Raw genomic sequence first — 20,126 nt, forward strand, 5'->3', positions numbered from 1 at the left:
TTCCGGCTGGGTACATGGCTCACCCCTGTAATCCCAGCACTTTGGAGGGCCGAGGTGGGCAGATCACCTGAGGTCAGGAGTTCGAGACCAGCCTGACCAACATGGTGAAACCCCATCTCTACTAAAAATAAAAAATTAGCTGGGTGTGATGGCGCGTGGCTGTATTCCCAGCTACTCGGGAGGCTGAGGCAGGAGAATCACTTGAACCCCGGAGGCGAAGGTTGCAGTGAGCCAAGATCGAGCCACTGCACTCCAGCGTGGGTGCCAGAGCAAGATTCCATCTCAAGAAAACAAAAAAAACTTTCCAGACGTAGAATTTCTGAGCCCAGGACTGTGTCTATGCTGAGTTATGATACTTGCTGTCATGTTGCCTTCAGAAAAGACTCAGCCAGTTTACACTTCCCCAGTACTATAAAGGGGTGCCTACCCACTATGTCCTCACTCAGGCTAGGAATTAAAACCTTAAGTGATGTGTGTCAATCTGATGGATGGAGCTTTTTTATTATTCATGTTTTCATTTACAGTTTGATAATTAGCAAAGCTGAGTATTTATTTTATTTTTGTAGGTCATAGTTGGTGTATATACTTATGGGGTACATGAGATGTTTTGACAGACACAGGCATGCAGCGCAAAGTAAGCACATCATGGAGAATAGGGTATCCATCCCCTCAAGCATTTATCCTTGCAAAGTTGAGTATTTTATACTTATCAGTTATTTATAGTTCAAAAAGAAAAAGAAAACAAAACTCTCTTTTGTCATGTATGTTGCAAATGTTTTCTAAAATGTATCACCTGCTTTTTTATTTCATCTGTTGTATCTTTTAAAACATTTCAATTTTTGGTAGTCAGAGTGATCATCAATTACTTATTTTTTACCTTTAGTGTCTTTAGAAAATGTTTTCCATTCTTAGAACATGTTAATATTCATTTGTTTTCCCCTAGAAATTTTGTGTTATTATTTAAGTAGTTGACTTAACTGAAATGTATTTTGGTCTATGGTGTTTGGGAAGTATGTAATATTTTCTTCTTCCTTCCCTCCTTCTTTCCTTGTAAAATGCCTTTGTAAAATGAGTTTGGAAGTATTTCTTCGTTTTCAACTACATGGAAGAAGTTGAGAAGGATTATTATTAATCCTTCGTTAAATGTGTGATAGAACTATCCAGGTGAAGCTATTAGGTCCTGGGCTTTTCTTTGATGGGAGATTTTTGTTTTCTGATTCAATTCCCTTATTCATTATTGGTCAGTTAGAATTTTCTATCTCTTTAAGAAGAATGTTCTTGTCCCAAATTTAATGGAAATGTATTTAGGCTTTTGCATTTAGATACGATGTTGACTCTTGGTTTGAAGTAGATGTTTTTATCGTGTTAAGAAAGTATCTTCTTAATTTACCAAGAATTCTTTTGTTTCTTCTCTTCTCTTCCCACCCTCTTCTCTTCCTCCTTCTCCTCATCCACTTCCTTCTCTTCTGGAATGGATGTTGTCTTTCATAAAATGCCTTTTAGACATCAATTGAGATTGACACTGAGATAATTTTCTAACCTTGATCTATTGATAAGATGAGTTGTGCTAAAAGGATTTCCTAGTAGTACACACCTTTGCATTCTTGCAACAAATCCTACTTGATGCAATGCGAATCTTGAATTTCCTTCAGGATTATAATTTCTAATATTATATTTAGGATTATTATAGCTACATTTGTAAAATGTATCTATAGGTTTCTCTGGGCTATCTCTGACACGTTTTGCTTTCAGAATTATCTAGCTTCAGAAAATTCATTCTGCAGCTTTCCATTGTCTTCTCTATAAGAGTTTAAAGAGCATTATATGTTATTAGTAAACTTGCTAAAATTTACTATCTGGGCCTGGCATTTTGAGGTGGGGGCAGATTTTTGGTAACTTTTCTCCCACTTATTTCTTGGTTATTAGTTTTTTTTTTTTTCAATTTTTCTATATATTATTGAATCAATTCTTGTAATTTACCTTTCCCAGGGAAAAATTATTTATTTTCTCAAAAACTTTAAGATTATTATAAAGCTTTACATAGAATGCTTTAAAATATTAAAATATCTTTATTCATAACATCTCTTTCATTTCAAATGTTACGTTTTCTCTCTTTTATTTATTGGACTAATCAGATATTTGTGTATCTGTTGATATTTTCAATGTCCCATCTTTTGAATTTATTAAGTTTACTTTTTATTTAGTTTTCTAATTCACTAAAAAAAAATTCCTTGTTTCTGCTTACACTGTTGTTTCCCTAGCTTTTTTGGATTAATTAATTTAGTTCTTTTTATTCTCTGTTATTTAATTTCAGAAGCACTCAGAGCTATACATTTTCCTCTGAGAATGATTTAGGATGCTTCTCATGTTTTTGTTTTATTCTCATGTCATTAATTTTTAATGTTCTGTAACTGCCATCTTGATTTCCTCTTGGACTCCAAAGTTATTTATTTAGAGTAGCCAAGCATGTTTTCTTACATGATAACTTGAACCTTTTATCATAATCCTTTTTTTTTTTTCCTCTCTACAGATACATTTAGGGAAGAGGGACGGTAGTTTGGGGAGAAGGAGGAGTAATGTGAGGTGGTCAGCACACCTTCTTGCCCATACATATACCTCCCTGTCAGCTCTAATACTACCCTTCAAGGGCAGCAGTAAGGAGGTTTCATATACAAAAGAAAATATCTCCTTACCATATCATGATTGGAGTCTCAGTTGCACATCACTTGCATTGTTGTATAGTCATAGTATGTGTGCTAAGTAAATGCTTTTGGAGAAAGTCAATGGGAAGAATAAATATTACTAGAATTATACACAAAAAATCACCCAAAATATCCTTCTCTTATAACCTGAAAATAATGCTAAGTGATTCAATTGTGCACATTGGAAAACAAATCCTAAAAGAGAAAAATATCATTAATCATTATAGTTAAAGTTCTTTTTCCAAATCCAACTATGTATTTGGATTCACTATTTATAGCAAATAGGAAGTTCACTATTTATAATTATGGTAAAATTCTTTGCAAAGGGCCTGGTTTTGTAATACAAGTACTTCTTAAATGGTCAGTTTTGACTTTTGTTAGTTTATTTATCTTAGGGGCCTAAGACAGGCTACCCATGTTGGTATCAGCTATGTAAAGACACGGGGAGCTCTTTTCCCCAGGAGAAATCTCTGGTAATTTTTACTGCTCCTGTGCAATTCATCTTCAACAATTTTTTCCCCAAGTCAGTCTATGCAGTTTCTGTAGTCACTACGCAGTCTGTGCAATTTGAAAATTCACCTGCATCCATTAACTCTCCTTGCCATCTTGATAGGATAGTTTTGCCTAGCACTGACTAGTTAAAAAGCAAATATAAACAAACAACTAGCAGGTTTTTTTTACTGCTATTGCGTTTGAATGCTACACTAGGTAGAACAACATCCTCAAATATGTTTTAGGGTGAGGTTACGTGCTTTTATTATTTACTAGCCAATGCTGATAGCAGTAATTGGGGTCACTGGACCGCTCAATCCAGGGGGCTTCCAGAAAACCACATGGACATTTTGCATATGTCATTACAATCCTAGAAGTCAACCTGAAAAGTTTTTTTGTTAAGTCGGGGTAGTTGTACAGTGCCAAGAATCTAGGTTTTGTTATCAGACAGCTCTAGATTTGAAATCTGCCTCCTGCTAGCTGTGTGACATTCTGCAAGTCATATAATGCTAATAACAACAATAACAATACTACTGCTAATAACAATGTAACAATGTTAGACTGTCAAACACACATTGAGTGGTTACCAAATGTTAGGCAGAGTTTGCTTAATATTGTTTATACTTACTATCTTATGTAACCCTCATACAAATCCTCTGAGACAAATACTATTATCTTATAAATGAGTAAAAAGAAGAACTTAAACTTCAAGTACACACAGTTAGCATATATGATCTGTGGCAGGAACCCACTATTCCATCTCCAGATTTCAAGCTTTTTTTTTTTTTTTTTTGAGACAGAGTCTCGCTCTGTCGCCCAGGCTGGACAGTGGCGCGATCTCTACTCACTGCAAGCTCTGCCTTCGTGTTCAGACCATTCTCCTGCCTCAGCCTCCAGAGTAGCTGGGACTACAGGTGCCCACCACCACGCCCGGCTGATTTTTTGTATTTTTTTAGTAGAGACGGGGTTTCACTGTGTTAGCCAGGATGGTCTCGATCTCCTGACCTGGTGATCTGCCGGCCTCAGCCTCCCAAAGTGCTGGGATAACAGGCGTGGAGCCACCATGCCCGGCCCAGATTTCAAGCTTTTAACCATAGTCAACTGCCTCTCTGAACCTCGGTTTCCTAATCTGCACTGTAAGTGCAAAATAACTCTCTTGTAGGGTCGGGAGGAGGAGCAGGGATCGCACAGTTACTGCTTCTAAAACTGGTCATTTATCGTTGCTGCTGATAGTGCTGCTATTATGTAAACTTAGTCAATTTCTAGCAGGAAGGATGTACGCATACTTTCTTCTTTGCACTCACGTTTTTAGGAATAGAGCTAAGCCCTACTCACTTAGGAAAGGCTGATAGTATCTCTAGTTTCAGCAGGGCCAATGAACGGGGTCAACTAGTGACTCAGGCACCCTACATGTGACCATCTGCAAGCCTGCCTAGAAATACAGACTCTCCAGTAACCTGCTTTCTTTGGTAAGATAATCAGTTCTTCCCTTTGGAGCTATGGGGAATTAGGCATGAAACTGGGACCATGGTCCAAGGTACATTCTGTGTCTTTTTGCTTCTTCCCACAAAGAGAAGATGTTTCCTGCTGGTGATTCTACCTGTTGTTCTTCCTGGGATTTTTCCAGTCAACTTAAGGGAGTTATCTGATCCTATAGCATCATACGACTTTTTTTTTTTTTTTTTTAGACGGAGTCTCACTCTGTCGCCAGGCTGGAATGCAGTGGCACAATCTCGGCTCACTGCAACCTCCACCTCCCGGGTTCAAGCAATTCTCCTGCCTCAGCCACCCGAAGTAGCTGGGACTATAGGTGTGCACCACCATGCCCAGCTAATTTTTGCATCTTTAGTAGAGACGAGGTTTCACCGTGTTGGCCAGGATGGTCTCAATATCTTGACCTCGTGATCCACCCGCCTCAGCCTCCCAAATTACTGGGATTACAGGTGCGAGCCACCGAGTATGGCCAGCATCATACGACTTCTTAAAGGCTACTGCTAACCAAGGATCTCAATGCAAAACACCTTGTCCAAAGCAGCAGTCTGTTTCAATGGCCCTGACTTTAGTAGCAGTCCCTTCCTAAACACTAACAACTAACTGAGAGCAGTGTTATAAAGCATCAGTGGCCACTTAACTGTAAGCTTAAAGGCTGGATGTATAATTATTAAAGATATATGCTTACGTTATAGACATACTTTTAGACCACACAAAGAGTATGGAACAGTCGCCATCCAAAGCCTCCCAGGCACCAGGCGATGCTTGTGCAGAAAGGCCAGGACTGATCCAACAGCTTCTCATCTGCAGAGGACAATCTGTTGGTTGTCACCCAATTGTCTCTGTCCCCGCAACATATGGGCAGTCAGAGGATGGACAAGGCTACATCTGGAGCTCCTTCTGCTCACTGCCCTGCAGCCCTGAAGGCTCCAAACCATGGCACATATGAGAAGTACTTAGTGTGTTCCACAGTTATTTAAATACCTCCCAGGCTAAAATGTCCCAAGCAGCTTTTCTTAACATATGGACCCAGGTCTACGTGCATCAGAATCACCTGGGTGACTGATGAACATGCAAATTCTTGTGCATATTTGTCTTTTTATCAGTTTATTATTTGTCTCCCTTGATAGCATGGAAACCCTGGAGAGTAGAAGCTGTCTTGTTTACCCTGCTACCCCAGTTCCTGCAACACTGCTTGGCACATAGCAAGTGCTCAATAAATATTTGTGGGATGAATTAATTCCTGGGCCCTATGCTGACCTACTCAATCAAAATCCCTAAGAATGGGGCCATGTATTTTAAACCGGGACTTCAATGATTATTATGCTCACTAAATTTTAAGAACCAGCGTTCTAAGGTAATCCGGCCAATTCTAAGATAGAGAAAAAGATGGTAAGTTTCCTCCCCCAAGGCGTCCATATTCACTATCTGGTCAGACATTAAGTTAAACATATTAATAGCCTTGGGTTAAACTTTCCCTTCTAGCCATATTCCTCCAACAAATGTTTATCTACCACCTGCCATATGTCAGGCTCTGGGTCCTAAGTAGAGAAAACAAATATAGTTTTGGAAGGCAGAGTGCCCAGGAAAAACTAGAGCCACCCCCATTCCTTTCCAATCTGCCAGAGGTGAACACTTGGAGTTCATGGTTTGACAAGCCTACTCCCTCCTTCTGCCCAAAGTTCGCTGATACAGGAAAGAAACAGACTATATGTTCATTACTGTTTTCCCGGCAGGTTTGTATGACACCTCTGGTTCATGAAAGTCAGATGTGAGCTTAAAATATTTATCTTATCTTAAAATAATCAAACCTTTCCAAACAGGTTTCCTATATGTTTGGCACCTTTGAGTTTGTTCTGGAAGCTTAGATTATATTTTGAGTTACTCCCTGGACTTTTACCAGTATTTGATCTTGGGCAGTCACTTCTCCTTTCAGGCTGTTGCCTTATTTGAAAAATGAGAAGGTTCGACTAGAATCAGGCATGTCTTGGAGCCCCTTCCAATTTGAATGCACTCTCATCTCTGACTCCTCAGTGCCATCTTACTGCCTTATACTTAAAAAAAGTTAAGTATGATATGATTTGATGAGCAAATAATGATTGTCAAGCTAGTCTACCCAAAATTCTCCCAGGCAAAGGTGTTTAGCTTTTGGTAAAGTTGGGTAAAATTCAAGATTTGCAAAAAAAAATTTCTAAGAGTTCTCACTCTCAGTTTTCTTGTTTACCTGCAAAAATACTATGGCAATTTTAATGTGCTTTAAACTTTATGTAAAAGATAAAGATAATACCCACACTTTCTCAGAAATTTGAACTTTTTATTTATATCAGGGCTGGAGCAAGGTGCTTTAGCACAGCCTGATCTGATCAGGTTGAAAATCACTGCTTTAAGGGATGCCCCCAGGCAAAGTTATGAAGTGTAGGAAGATTTATAAGGAGTGAGAAGCTCTCTGTGTCCTTTCCTCAACCACATCACCCTCCCTTCCCTCCCCTCAGTCTCACAGAAGTTCCCCAAAGGTAGGCTGCCCTAATCTAAGTCCATAGTCTTTGCATCAAATGTAACTGTAATGCCCCTTTTTCCATTCCAGCCTGACAAACTAATCACTGGTAACTTGTCCATTACCATTGCCCAGGTAATTGTCTTTCTTTGGGAAACAGCTTCACTTAAATCAGTGATTCCCAATGCTTTGAGGTTTCATGTCTGCTTTATATTCCAATTATTTTGTCACGCCTCCTTTATTGGCCTGAAAAAAAAAAAGGGTCAAAAATATAACTTACCCTTCTCACTATATAATGCCCAAATTATTTTTTTAAATGAAGAAATGTGATAGAAGTAATTTGTAATAAATTAACTTATTTCAATATGTAAAAGCCTAAGCAAGACAGCACTAGAAGCTGTGATGAAGTCCAGTGCTTGCTGTATGTCTAGACTCACAGGGAGAGCCACAAAGGTACTATGGAGTCAATGACAAATACCAAAAACCCCACTCACTGCTCACTATATGCCAATAGCATCCCACAACCACTGATTGTGATAATCACCTCTACCATCAGTTATTTTTCCAAAAAGCCTTTTAAAAACCTAGATCAATGACCCTGATGCAAAGTTGGCTATGTTAGCAACCTCCAGAGAGCTATTTTGACTTAAAGAATGTTTCTCTGGGCCGGGCACGGTGGCTTACGCCTGTAATCCCAGCACTTTGGGAGGCCGAGGCAGGCAGATCACAAGGTCAGGAGATCGAGACCATCCTCGCTAACACGGTGAAACCCCGTCTCTACTAAAAATACAAAAAATTAGCCAGGCATGGTGGCGGGCGCCTGTAGTCCCAGCTACTCGGGAGGCTGAGGCAGGAGAATGGTGTGAACCCGGGAGGCGGAGCTTGCAGTGAGCCAAGATTGTGCCACTGCACTCCAGCCTGGGCGACAGAGCCAGACTCTGTCTCAAAAAAAAAAAAAAAAAATGTTTCTCTGTCTCTCGTACCATGATTATTATAATATTAAGCAAAGCAGTATCTGTGTTTTTATTTTAGGAAAGAAGCATTTTTAGGGTTGAAAGGATGTTTGAAACTTGAGCCCATGAATTTTTGGCCTTCTTTACGCTTTTAGCACTTGGAATGTCATTAGGTAGCTATTTCACTTAGTATCTTCATCCAGATATTTCAGAATGGATTTTCTCTTCCTGCTGTTTCATTGGTATGTGAAATTGCAGGTCGGTTTATTCAAAGGTTTGGAATAAAAAGGTTTCTCTGAACTCTCCTTTCATTGCCAAACATTTTGCTCCAAATCAGGCTTGTTTTAACTGAATTAAGAGGATGACTTAATAAGAAGCTTCTGTGCACAGCAGAGGGTCATGGTAATCGTTCTATAGGGAACAACACAATACGGTCACAAGTCTGCAAAACGTGCCAGAAATGATAGTCATGCCTCATCCAGGCAAGTAAATGCATCCTTCCTGGAAGCAGTCAAGGAGTTGTTTTCTCCGAGTATTGTTATCAACAGTTTGGGGTTGGACTTTACCCTCCTGCGGCCACTTACGTTGTAAAGACGATGAAGCAAATTATTCAAAGCAAATCTATATTTCTTTTTCCTTCCAGAGGGAAAATGATTCCATCTGATCTTGAAAGAAGGATTCTTGAAGCCAAACAGAAAGTAAGTTTCTGCCGGGAGCTTTATCCAGCCCATATTTCTATTTCCATCCACCGGAGAACAAAATGTGTTTTGGTTTTATTTTAAAAAGAGGATCCAAGCCTCAATCTCCCAGGTTTAATGAGAACATAGAATTCTGCATCCAGTCACTATTTATTTCTCTGGGTTATAGGCTCTGCTTTAGAAAAGTTTAAATTGCTGAATAAATATTATATACAGAGATACAGTGAGCGTTTCCAAAGCATTTGTCTTCCTAGGTACTGAGGGTTGGCATGAAACACCCACACATTTGAAAGAATATTTTCAGAGGCGGGGAAATAGCAGAATGCTAATGCAGTATGTGAGAGACCCTGGTGCAGTTCTTCAAAAGGGGCCAGTTTTTCCCGTGTAGGTGCATGCTGTTAGCATTGGCTCTCCAGACGTCTTATTTTGCAGGAAGCAATTTAGAACTCTTTTCAGAAGTAACAAGTTCTGAATGCCTGCCCAAGATTCCCAAAGCTCTAGAAAGTCATTTACAACCTGGGATGGCTCACAAATCAGAGAATTTGTTTCTAGAATTCTTTGTTTACCATTTGGTAGATATAACCTACAGTTTCTGATTTAATAACATACACATGCATTTTATCATTAGGAACTCAGAAATAATGATTTACGTTCATATGCCCTTTTTCGTTTGGTTTTGTTTTACTAAGTGGCAGGCAGCAGGAGAAGGTTTCCCTCCTTGTGCAAGTACTAGAACTACTTCTAGTAACATCAACTAGAAGATTAAACCTTTGCTGCCACCTAAAGACTGACACCATAACATCACGTTCTATAGACAGGACAGAGTCCTTATGGAATGAGGGACTATGGCGATCCTGTTTGTGGCATTCTCCTGCCTTCTTCCAGCCCGTTACTTCAATCAGTTTTCATTTAGCCATGGCCAGAGAGACTGAGGACTAGTTAGACGGATAAAAGTCATGGCGTATTATTTTAGCCGCTCCGTGCTGAAACGTGAAATAAATTATCTGGGCATTTTCCAAATAGGAATAATGGGCTGGTCAGAGCTACTTCTCTTCATTCTCCTGCCTACTCACTCTAGGGGATTTATGAAGTTCAGAGGCCTCGTTGTGAATAAGGAACACTTGAAAGTGAGCAAAGGGGGTTAAAAGGGCCAGAAAGTCTACCGGGAATATATACATGTCTCGGGGACGTCCCTGACAGCCTCTGGGTTCACTACAGCCTCTTCTGAGAATCAGAATGTCTGTTCTTTTAAGACACAGTCAGGTCCAACAGCATAGCCTAGAGAACTCAGATTCCAGAGAGTGAACATCAATTTGTCCCAGACCCCGGGGTGTCAGTAACTCTGCTGCTGCTTCCTCAAATTCAGACGTGTCTGTTAGGGAGAGAATTTCCATTGCTTTGAATCAGCTTTTTAAAAGAACCCTTGACTCTGTTTTCCATGATTTGGGGCTTTCTCGTTCGCACAGGGGTTTGTTCCTTTCCTCGTGAGTGCCACAGCTGGAACCACCGTGTACGGAGCATTTGACCCCCTCTTAGCTGTCGCTGACATTTGCAAAAAGTATAAGATCTGGATGCATGTGGATGTAAGTATCCCTTAGGGACTGGCCACTAAAACGTCCTTGCACGTTTTTCATGTGGGACACACAAAGGAAATTTGTTTTCTCTTTTTTTAACTTGGTCAGCTTATTTTCAGAGTGGTGATATTAAAGCTTTTAAAGCTGGATGAAGCAAATTAGCACACAACTCACACAGTACACACCGTGCACCAGAAGCATCCCAAGGCTGATTATACCTTAATGTCCCCAACATGGTAATATTTGTATTTCTATGATCAGTACCCAAGCTGACCACTTTGTTCTCAATTCATCGAGCCATTGCATCCATGGAGGAATACAACCTACGCACACAGTCCTGCTGTTCCTCACTTACCAGAATGGTCAGAAGAGTAAAGAGGAGTTGCATTTATGTAGGAAACCCAGAGAATTAAAAACAAACAAAAGCAAAAAACTGAAGCTCAAGTTAGATATTCCTGTATTTAGAGAGGAAAATAGGCTTGACAACTTCCTGGGAAATAAGGACCACCAAAGTTCCAATTTCGTAGCTTGGTCAGCTAAGAAGATAGATTATATTTGAAACGTTTTGACTTCAGGCCTTGTCACACTAAAAAATAATGAAGGTGTTCCCTCCAGAACATTTTCCAATGAAAAAAAATGTGTTAAGTTTTAGAAGGACCGAAGGGATTTAAGTTTAGATTAGTATTACTCAAAGTGTGGTTTGACGATTAGCTACCACCTGCAAACTGTTAATGATCCATATGAGATAAAGAGTTTGTGCCAAACCATCATCAGTCACAAACCATCGCTAATCACAAACCATCACAAACTAAGCGCAATGCTTGGCTCAGCTGATAATTTTTTCATTGCAAGACTTTCTCAGTGAAGGAACGCATAAGTTGATGTTCATTCGAGTGCAAGATCCTTATGTTGTCATGGGCCAGCACTGGGTCTAAGCCAGGGCTATAACAATGATCTAGCCCTGGCTTAGATCATTTTGGCTTTATAATAATTATTCAGACCAAATTAATGCTCTTTTTTTTTTCTTTTTGAGACAGAGTCTTGCTCTGTCGCCCAGGCAGGAGTGCAGTGGCGTGATCTTAGCTCACCGCAACCTCCGCCTCCAGGGTTCAAGCAATTCTCCTGCCTCAGCTTCCTGAGTAGCTGGGATTACAGACGTGCGCACCCATGCCCAGCTAATTTTTGCAATTTTAGTAGAGATGGGATTTCTCCATATTGGCCAGGCTGCTCTCGAACTCCTGACCTCAGGTGATCCACCTGCCTTGGCCTCCCAAAATGCTGGGATTACAGGCAGGAGCCACCACACCTGGCCTCATTAATGTTCTTTTCTTTAGGGGCAGAAAATTTCCACAGGCTTAGCTGGGTGCATTTCCATTATTCCAGAGTATTCCTGCAGAGCAATCACCAATGTTCTTTATCCTCCCTGATTCACAGTGTGAGTCGTTCATTAGGCTACCAGAGCCCCTTTCATTTTACACATGAAGACACTGAGAAAAGACTGAACTATCCGATATCATTAGTGACCTGGGCCTCAGGACTGGAAATCCTGGTAGACCTTGCTGGCTGATTCAGGAAGAGGATTACCCGGCAACTTCAAAAATGAGAATGTCTGTGTGTCCTGAGCCAGCAGAAGCTATGGGTTGTTCCTCTGGGCCTCCTACTTAAATTAGAACTAGGGAATCTTTTAACCAGTTTTATTAGCTTTTCTTTGAAACATACCAAGTTTACCACTTACTCTTATTAGCTTTAACATTCATACATTCTATAAAGTAGAAAGAATCTTAAAATAGTACACGTTTGGAAAATCATAATTTTTCAAAGTGCAAAAGAACTGGGCCAGGTGCAGTGTCTCACGCCTGTAATCCCAGCACTTTGGGAGGCTGAGGCAGGTGGATTACCTGAAGTCAGAAGTTCGAGACCAGCCTGGCCAGCATGGTGAAACCTCGTCTCTACTAAAAATACAAAAATTAGCCAGGCATGGTGGTGGGTGCCTGTAATCCCAGCTACTTGGGAGGCTGAGGCAGGAGAATTGCTTGAACCCAGGAGGCAGAGGTTGCAGTGAGCCAAGATCTCACCATTGCACTCCAGCCTGGGCAACAAGAGCAAAACTCTGTCTCAGAAACAAAACAAAACAAAAAGAGGGCTGAACTTACAACAAAAGGTGGGGGGAAGTGATTATATCATAAAAGAATTTTATAATCCATTTAAAATTATCCTAGAATTATTTGTACACACAGAGGAAAGAAAGTTAATATTTCCAAATGAATCTCCATCTTGGCATTCTATTTTTAAAGGAGATTACTACACCAATTCAAATCTTCAACCTTGATCAAGTACAAATTGTTAAGACGTGTTCTAACTGCTCAGCTAATTAACTGGTATGAATCTTCCCTGCTTGTGAATTTTGGACACAGAAATTATCCAAAATCACACATCAGTGAAATAGAGTTATGAAGCCACTTCTTATTTCTGGAATCATTTAGACTTGTCAAAAGAGTTTTCCCTGCAACTTGGAAGCTGTTTAATGGCCCTCCTGCCCATCTTCTCTGCCTTACACTGTGGGGACCACAGGGTTTCGTATTCTGAGAACATGACTTCATGAGGACTAATGGTGCTGGTGATAGGTTTGGGAGAGGGTCTTTCTCTCTCTTCTACGGACCAGGAGCTATGCCTCCAAGGTGGCTCCTTACACCCATATAAATGTGGGATGGAATCTGAGACCTTAGAAGGGCCCTTCGGTGTAAACTCTGAAGGTTAGTGCCAGAAGGAGGTGGTCAACTTCCTAAGTGGCCTGGGGTCAAGATCATTTTCACCTAGAAAGACACCAGACTATAGAAATCTAGGCAATGACAAACTGCTACCATTTTCCTCATATGATTTTTTTTCAGGCAGCTTGGGGTGGGGGATTACTGATGTCCCGAAAACACAAGTGGAAACTGAGTGGCGTGGAGAGGTATGTTGCATTTTTCTTATTAACAACATAAAGTGTTAAAAGCTAACTGTGAAACACAAATTACAGTCAATTTCCAGGAACTTTTGGAATACTGAGTGAACTCACTCTATTCAGTGCTTGTGTTCCTTGCCTTATGTGGTATTACACTCATGAATGTGGGTAAACAACAGAAAAATCAAATATGTAAATATTATGTGTAAACAACAGAAAAATCAGAATACACATCAAGCGACCCAGGTAGAATCTCTTTCAGACATAGAGATTCCTGTCTAGGGTCTATTCCTGGGATCTCTGAACCAACCACAAAAATTGTTTAAAACCTACAGGCAGCCCACGTTTTACTAGGGAGAAGATTTATAGCTTTCATGTTTCATAAAAGGATAATATCCACTGCTTAAAAAAAATAATAATTTTTCAAAGCAAATAAGCACCTTGTAACTTATCAATGTTGAAAGTTTGGGTTTGGGGTCTAAGATGGCCAGTTCACTTAAAGTGAAACATACTAGCAATAGCCTCATCTCATGTTTCATTCCCGTAATAACCTTTCTCTGACACAGCTCCGACTGATGCTGCAAAGCACCTTTTATTTAGAGCCTACGCAGAAGACTGTTGAGAAAAGCTGAAAAACACAAAGGCAGTGATATCTGATTGGCATAAAGCACATTCAGGTCCAAAGAAAAGAGAACAACAGAATGCAAAATACAGGCTCTGGTTCTGAACCACATGCAAGGGGAGCCCAGTTCTCTCATCACAACATGGCAGGTCAGACACAGTGGTGAGCTCTGGCACTCCAAGTGACCAAGAAAGCCTGAATTCATCAGAGGCTGCCAAATGCCCACCATCCCCTGCCAAGTCGCCAGATGCTGCCCAGCAAAAGCGTCACACTGGCTCTGCCACTAGATATCTTGGCACAGTTTCTGTTCCAGGACAAGGAGAGACGCTGATGGAGCACAGAGGCACTTGTGAGCCCTGGGCATGTGGGAGGCCCAGGCCAGAGTGGCTGTGCAGAGGGTGCGATCTGACACCCAGGCCCAAAATACACAGAGAACCCGTGAGTGTGGAAAGAGAGGGGTATGGTTACTGGGCTGGAGTCAAGAGCATCCCACCAAATTAATGGAAAGAAGGCAAAAAAGAGTTGGGATACACCAGCTAAGGCCCATGTCAGAAGGGTCACTGTCCCTGAGTCTGATGGCTGGGGTCAGAGCCTGGCCTGAGCACAGCGGTGTTAAGGCACCTGGAGCCACCCAAGCTCTGATTGCAGGGCCCCATTTAGATGCCAGTGGATGAGGGCAGGTGTGTCTCCCTCCCAGGGTCAGCCAGTGCCAGGCCTCTGCTCTTGGACCCTTGGGGCTTCTCTCAGGCCTAATCCCTTTCCATCTTGAAGATCTGCAAGAAAGCAGAAGCTTAAGGAAGAGGCAATGAAGTAAACAGGGAGAGACAATAAAAGAGAGAGAGAGAACAACTTGGAAGGTGCCTGCTCACATGATCAGAACAATAATTAAATTCATGTGCTTTCAAGAGAGGTGGCCTATGTACAGTACTTTCTCTTCTGTGAGTTTCTGACTGGCACAAAAAGTCTGTTACTTTACCTTTGATGCCACTTGCAACTGTAAGTGCTGAAAGTCCTGGCACATCCTCCACTTAAAAACTCACTAAATTACCTACCCTGAGCCTTAGAAAAATAAACACCCACACGATTCTGTACCAAAGACTATTATTTGAGAGCAAAGCTTAGAACGTTCATCAGGGAACACAGAGTTTCCTCTTATTGCCGCAATTCTTGAAACTGTACTGTAACTAAACTTTTCAAATGGAATAACCATATATGAAGTCCTAAAAATGAGGGGGCTGCTGGTGTTCCACTCTGAGCAGAATCCCCTTTAGCCACCCATTTAACTGAGGATACCCCTCTCTCACTGACTTATTAGCAAAAGGCATACTTTCTAAGTGAATACAGTTGGAAGACCAGTGGAAACCACATAATGTGTATGGCCACAAGTTTAGGAAAGAAATGTGTCTCACTTAGGGAATGACATTTTTCCAAGCTCCGCAAACCAAAGTTTAGAACTCACCCTAAAAGTAGAAGAAATCCGTAGTCAATTCTTGTCCCCAAATCCAGAGGATCCTTAGTAGTCACAGAGGATCCTGAATGCCATTCTCATACAAAATGGCACAAGGGGGCCGGGCACGGTGCTTGTAATCCCAGGACTTTGGGAGGCAGAGGTGGAAGGATCATTGAGGCCAGTTCAAGACCCTTCTGGGTAACAGAGTGAGACTCCATCTCTACAAAAAGAATTTGTTTTTTTTAAATTAGCCAGGCATGGTGGTACTCATGGCTGTGGTCCTAGCTACTCAGGAGACTGAGTGAGGCAGGAGGATCACTGGAGTCCAGGAATTTAAGGCTACAGTGAGCTATGATGGCACCACTGCACTCCAGCCTGGGCAACAGAGACCCCATCTCTAAAAAAATAAAAATAAAAATAAATAAATAAATAAAATGGCACAAACACCTGGAGCCCTTTCTGGCATCCCCTTCAAGAACCAACCAAATTCTCAGAAAACAGCTCTCTTCCTTGCTAGCACTGTCAGAATGTCGAGAGATGGTGCCGCTGAGAGGGCACGCCACAAACCCTGAGACTCCAGAGCATGACTCTGTGCATTGTATTTTTATTTATTTTTATTTTTATTTATTTATTTTTGAGATGGAGTCTCACTCTGTCACCCAGGCTGGAGTGTGGCAGCGCAATCTTGCCTCACTGCAACCTCTGCCTCCCGGGTTCAAGCAATTCTCCTGCCTCAACCTCCTGAGTAGCTGGGGTTACAGGTATGCGCCACCATGCCTGGCCAATTTGTTTGTTTGTATTTTTAGTAGAGATGGGGTTTCACCATTTTGGCCAGGCTGGTCTTGAACTCCTGACCTCAAGTGATCCGCTCGCCTCGGCCTCCCAAAATGCTAGTATTACAGGCGTGAGCCACCGCGCCGGCTTCTGTGCATCAGACTGACGCGTCTTTAGTCTCTCCTGCCCACAGGCTGCTGCTTACCGTAATCATCCTCTGATGTGTTCCACTCTCAAGGCTTTAAGTCGCAGCTGAAGGTGCTGGTACAGTTTCTGCTGCATCACCAGTTGCTCTCACTCCTGCCCTGAGAGCCAGGTGTTCAGGATTTAATTCGATCATTGCTGAACCTCTGTCATAGGCAAGCCACAGCACAACGCACTGCATGGGTGCAAAGACGAGTATGATATAAAGCCTATCTTCAAGGAGTTCAGAATCTAGTGGGGAAGATTGTCAATGAACAGTGGATTAAAATTCAAGGCAAGGAAGTAAAGGCTGGAGAGACAGACGTGGGAGCTGATTGGAGAGCACAGAGAAAGGAATGTTTCCTTCTGTGATTACAGGGAGCTTTCACCAAGCAGGGCAACATTGTAGCTCAGCATCATAGCATACAGGGTACTTCATCGGGCAGAAATGGAAAAGGGCATTCAGGCTGAAGAGACACACAAGTGTGAAAGTGCACAGTGTGTTGGAGAAAGTTCAAACCCGTTTGGTTGGAGGATGCCATGGTTTAACAGCTGTGGCCAGGTCATGGGTGGAAAGTGCAGAAGTCTTGGCCAGCCCAGGGCCCGCCCGCAGAGCCAGGTCAGAATCTGCGGGGGTTCTTTCCACGAAACATAGATCCCTGAGCTGGGAGTCACTGCTGTGTGGCTGCCATTATGCGTGGAGAGCATTAGATTCCTTGGGGCGACAAAACCCATGGAAAACCTTTGCTGCAGGAGCCGTAGTGGGCTTTGAGCAGAAGTGCAATGTGATCTCACCTGTGTTCTGGCATTAACTCTGCATTAGAGAGGAGACGGGAGCCAGGGACAGACTAGAAGCTATTAAGCTCTTAGGAACGTCCAGGTGCAGGACAGGAAAGAAGCTGAGTGTGACCTAAGCTGTAGTAGCAGAGAAGGAAGTAAGTGGATGGACCTAGGAGAGGGGGAGAGAGAACTGTAAGGGGCGGTATAGAGACGGGGAAGAAAAGAGTGAAACTAAGGACAACAGTGAGGTTTGGAGGCTGGAGGCCTGGAAGGAAAATGGTGCCAGGAACACAGAATATAGAGGAGAAAGAATCAATCTAGAAGGTTGAGCAGTGGCGATTGGGGCCTATGGATTTGAGGCAGAAATAAGAGCACAGGGAGATGTCTTAAAATAGCCCTGCGGGATTCAGTTCTCTCCAACTTACACAAACTGCAGAAGCCGCATGACCGAATCCCACAGCAAAACATTTTGAAATGAACCTGAGGCTGTTTTTTTTTTTTAAATAAATTGCCAACATTTCTGAAATCAAGTCCATGTCATCGAATCAATCTGCAGGGCTTTTTGCCATCTTTATGCCTCTGAGAGGGAGGTGGGACAGAGAATTCAGTGACAGGTAGTTGGGGGCCTTGGCAGCTTCTCTTCTAAAAAGACAAATAGGCCCCCACGTAGAGATAAACACCACAGCCAGACATGGAAGACAGCTGTTTTCCTCTCCCATCAGGCATTCTTACTGACAAAGCTGAGTTTATCCGAATTAGACATCTAGCCATAGAACATGATGGAATGTATAGAATGGCCATGTGTACGTGCATGCACGGTGTCACCAAGCTCACAAATGACAGAGATGAAATCCATAGCAAAAGCCAACCTTATTTAATGCTTACTGCATGTTAAGCACAGTTCTAAGCACTTCACCTAAATACATATTATTATTCTCCTTTTCTAGTTGAGGAAATCTAGGCACAGAGAGGTTAAGTAACTTGCTCAAAGTCACACAGCCAGGAAGTGATGAAACCTGAACGCAAACCCATACTATCTGGCTCCTGAGGGCTTCCCCCTTAACTATTATGTCTGCTTTATAGCCCAGGGTCCTGACTCCAGGGTCATTCTACAAAGCAAGGAGGTATTTTTTTGGAGGGAACTTTCCAATACCTCAATGCTGTTATTACTCATTAAGTCCTTTAGTCTTCTCTCCAGGGGTAGTTATCTGACCATGAACTGCCTTTGCTTCTAGTTCCTCAATTCCAGTCGTAAATGTATCTGACAACCAGTGTCAGAGCCAGAGAAAGACCAGAAGCTGAGCTAGACTATTCGTTGGCCCAGATGAGATCCCCAGGCCAGTGAGCGCTCTCTGACTGTCTGGCTGACACCTGCCCTTCATCAAATGAATGAATCGGGTCTTTCCCAGCTTCTCATTTTTTCCCAAGGCCATCACACCCGAGAGGTGGGAACTGGATGAGCCCACGTCCATTGTACGGCCAGACAGGGCAGCAATCCATGGCTCTCTGGAGGCAGCTGCCACGGGTTATTCTACTGTAATACTTTCCTTCCTCCTTTATGCCACTCATGAAACTCCACTGCCAGGACCCGTCAGTCTCTCCGGAGACAAGCGTAGAGGCTCACCTTACCCAGTAAATGTGTGAAGTGAGCCATGACATTCACAGTGGGAGCAGTTGCTTTTCCCAGAATCCAAACAGGAGCACGGTGGAAGTGAGGGAGAGAAGCCGCAGAAGTTAAACAAAGCCACAGAGATCATACTGAAAGAATCTGGGGCCTTAAAAAATAAGCAAGATTTAACAAAGTGAAGCAAAGGGAGATGGTGTTCCAGGAAGAGGAAACAGCATGATGAGACCCAGGAGTATGAGAATAGAATTCTCTGAGAACAAAAGTTAATCTGGCCTGATGAAATGGGTAAAGAAAAGCGAAGAGACCCAAGACCTAAGGCGTAGCTGGGGCTCACCCCAGGGGCTGCAGGAGCCGTACCCTGTATTTGGAATTTGGGCTGGAGGCAAAAGAAAACTGTCAGTGATTTCAGAGAAGGAGAGGGCCATAAACAGAGATAGAAAATAATTCTGGTGCCAAGTGAAGGATGAAATGAAGACCGAGTCAGTTATGACACAATTGCTGAATCCAGATTAAAATAATAATTATTATTAAAGGAATCTGAACCAGGACTACAGCTCAGACTTTTGAAATAATGTAAATCCCTGAGCACGGAATCGCTGTTGTGTGATCCACTGTTACTGATGAGAGAGCATCAAATTTCCCCAAGGCATGAGGCAAAAAAAGATGGAACTCTCCCCTGCTGTGGGAACCACACACATCTCACCTGCAGTCTGGAAAGAAAATAACTCTGGATTAGGAAACAGATGGAAGCAGGGGCCTTGCCAGAAGCTACTACAAAAGGACGCATCTGAGAAATTTGGACATCAATTGATTAGAAAGGAAAGATCGAGTTAAGCAGTGGAATGAGCCCTCTCTTTGAGCTCCAGGACACTGCAATAGCAAGAACCATAGAGGCACAGGAGGCAGCTGCCCTCACTGGCCAGGTGCTCTGGCCATCACTGGCCAAAGGAGGGACCCTGGACTGGAGGATCCCAATCACTCTAAGCTGTGCTCTGAGATCACCGTGGAGGCAGGGTGCATGCTGCCACTGGAGCAGGGGCACACCACATGGAGACCCACGCCCTCACCTGCTATTTCTGTGGACAAAGAAAAGTTGCAGTGTGAACTCCAAAAAACTGAGACAGGTCTCAGTTAATTTTGAAAGTTTATCTGGCCATGGTTGAGGACGCACGCCCGTGACACAGCCTCAGGTGGTCCTGACAACATGTACCCAAGGTGGTCAGAGCACAGTTTGGTTCTATGCATTTTAGAGAGATGTAAGAAATTGGTCAACATATGTAAGATGAACACTGGTTTGGTCTGGAAAGGAAGGACAACTCGAACTGGGGAGGGGCCTTCCAGG

General features: G+C 42.4%; 1 protein-coding gene across 2 annotated transcripts in view; it reads left to right on the top strand.

Moving 5' to 3' along the window:
- GAD2 (glutamate decarboxylase 2) overlaps window positions 1–20,126 on the top strand; it is an 88,187-nt gene that overhangs the window by 43,972 nt on the left and 24,089 nt on the right. For both annotated transcript variants that reach the window (NM_000818.3, NM_001134366.2), the window contains exons 9-11: window positions 8,776–8,830; window positions 10,297–10,413; window positions 13,293–13,357. In NM_000818.3, coding sequence (NP_000809.1) covers window positions 8,776–8,830; window positions 10,297–10,413; window positions 13,293–13,357 — 237 coding nt within the window. The remainder of the gene's footprint in view (window positions 1–8,775; window positions 8,831–10,296; window positions 10,414–13,292; window positions 13,358–20,126) is intronic.

Source organism: Homo sapiens, chromosome 10 (genome assembly GCF_000001405.40).
Source record: "Homo sapiens chromosome 10, GRCh38.p14 Primary Assembly".
Lineage (NCBI taxonomy): Eukaryota > Metazoa > Chordata > Mammalia > Primates > Hominidae > Homo > Homo sapiens.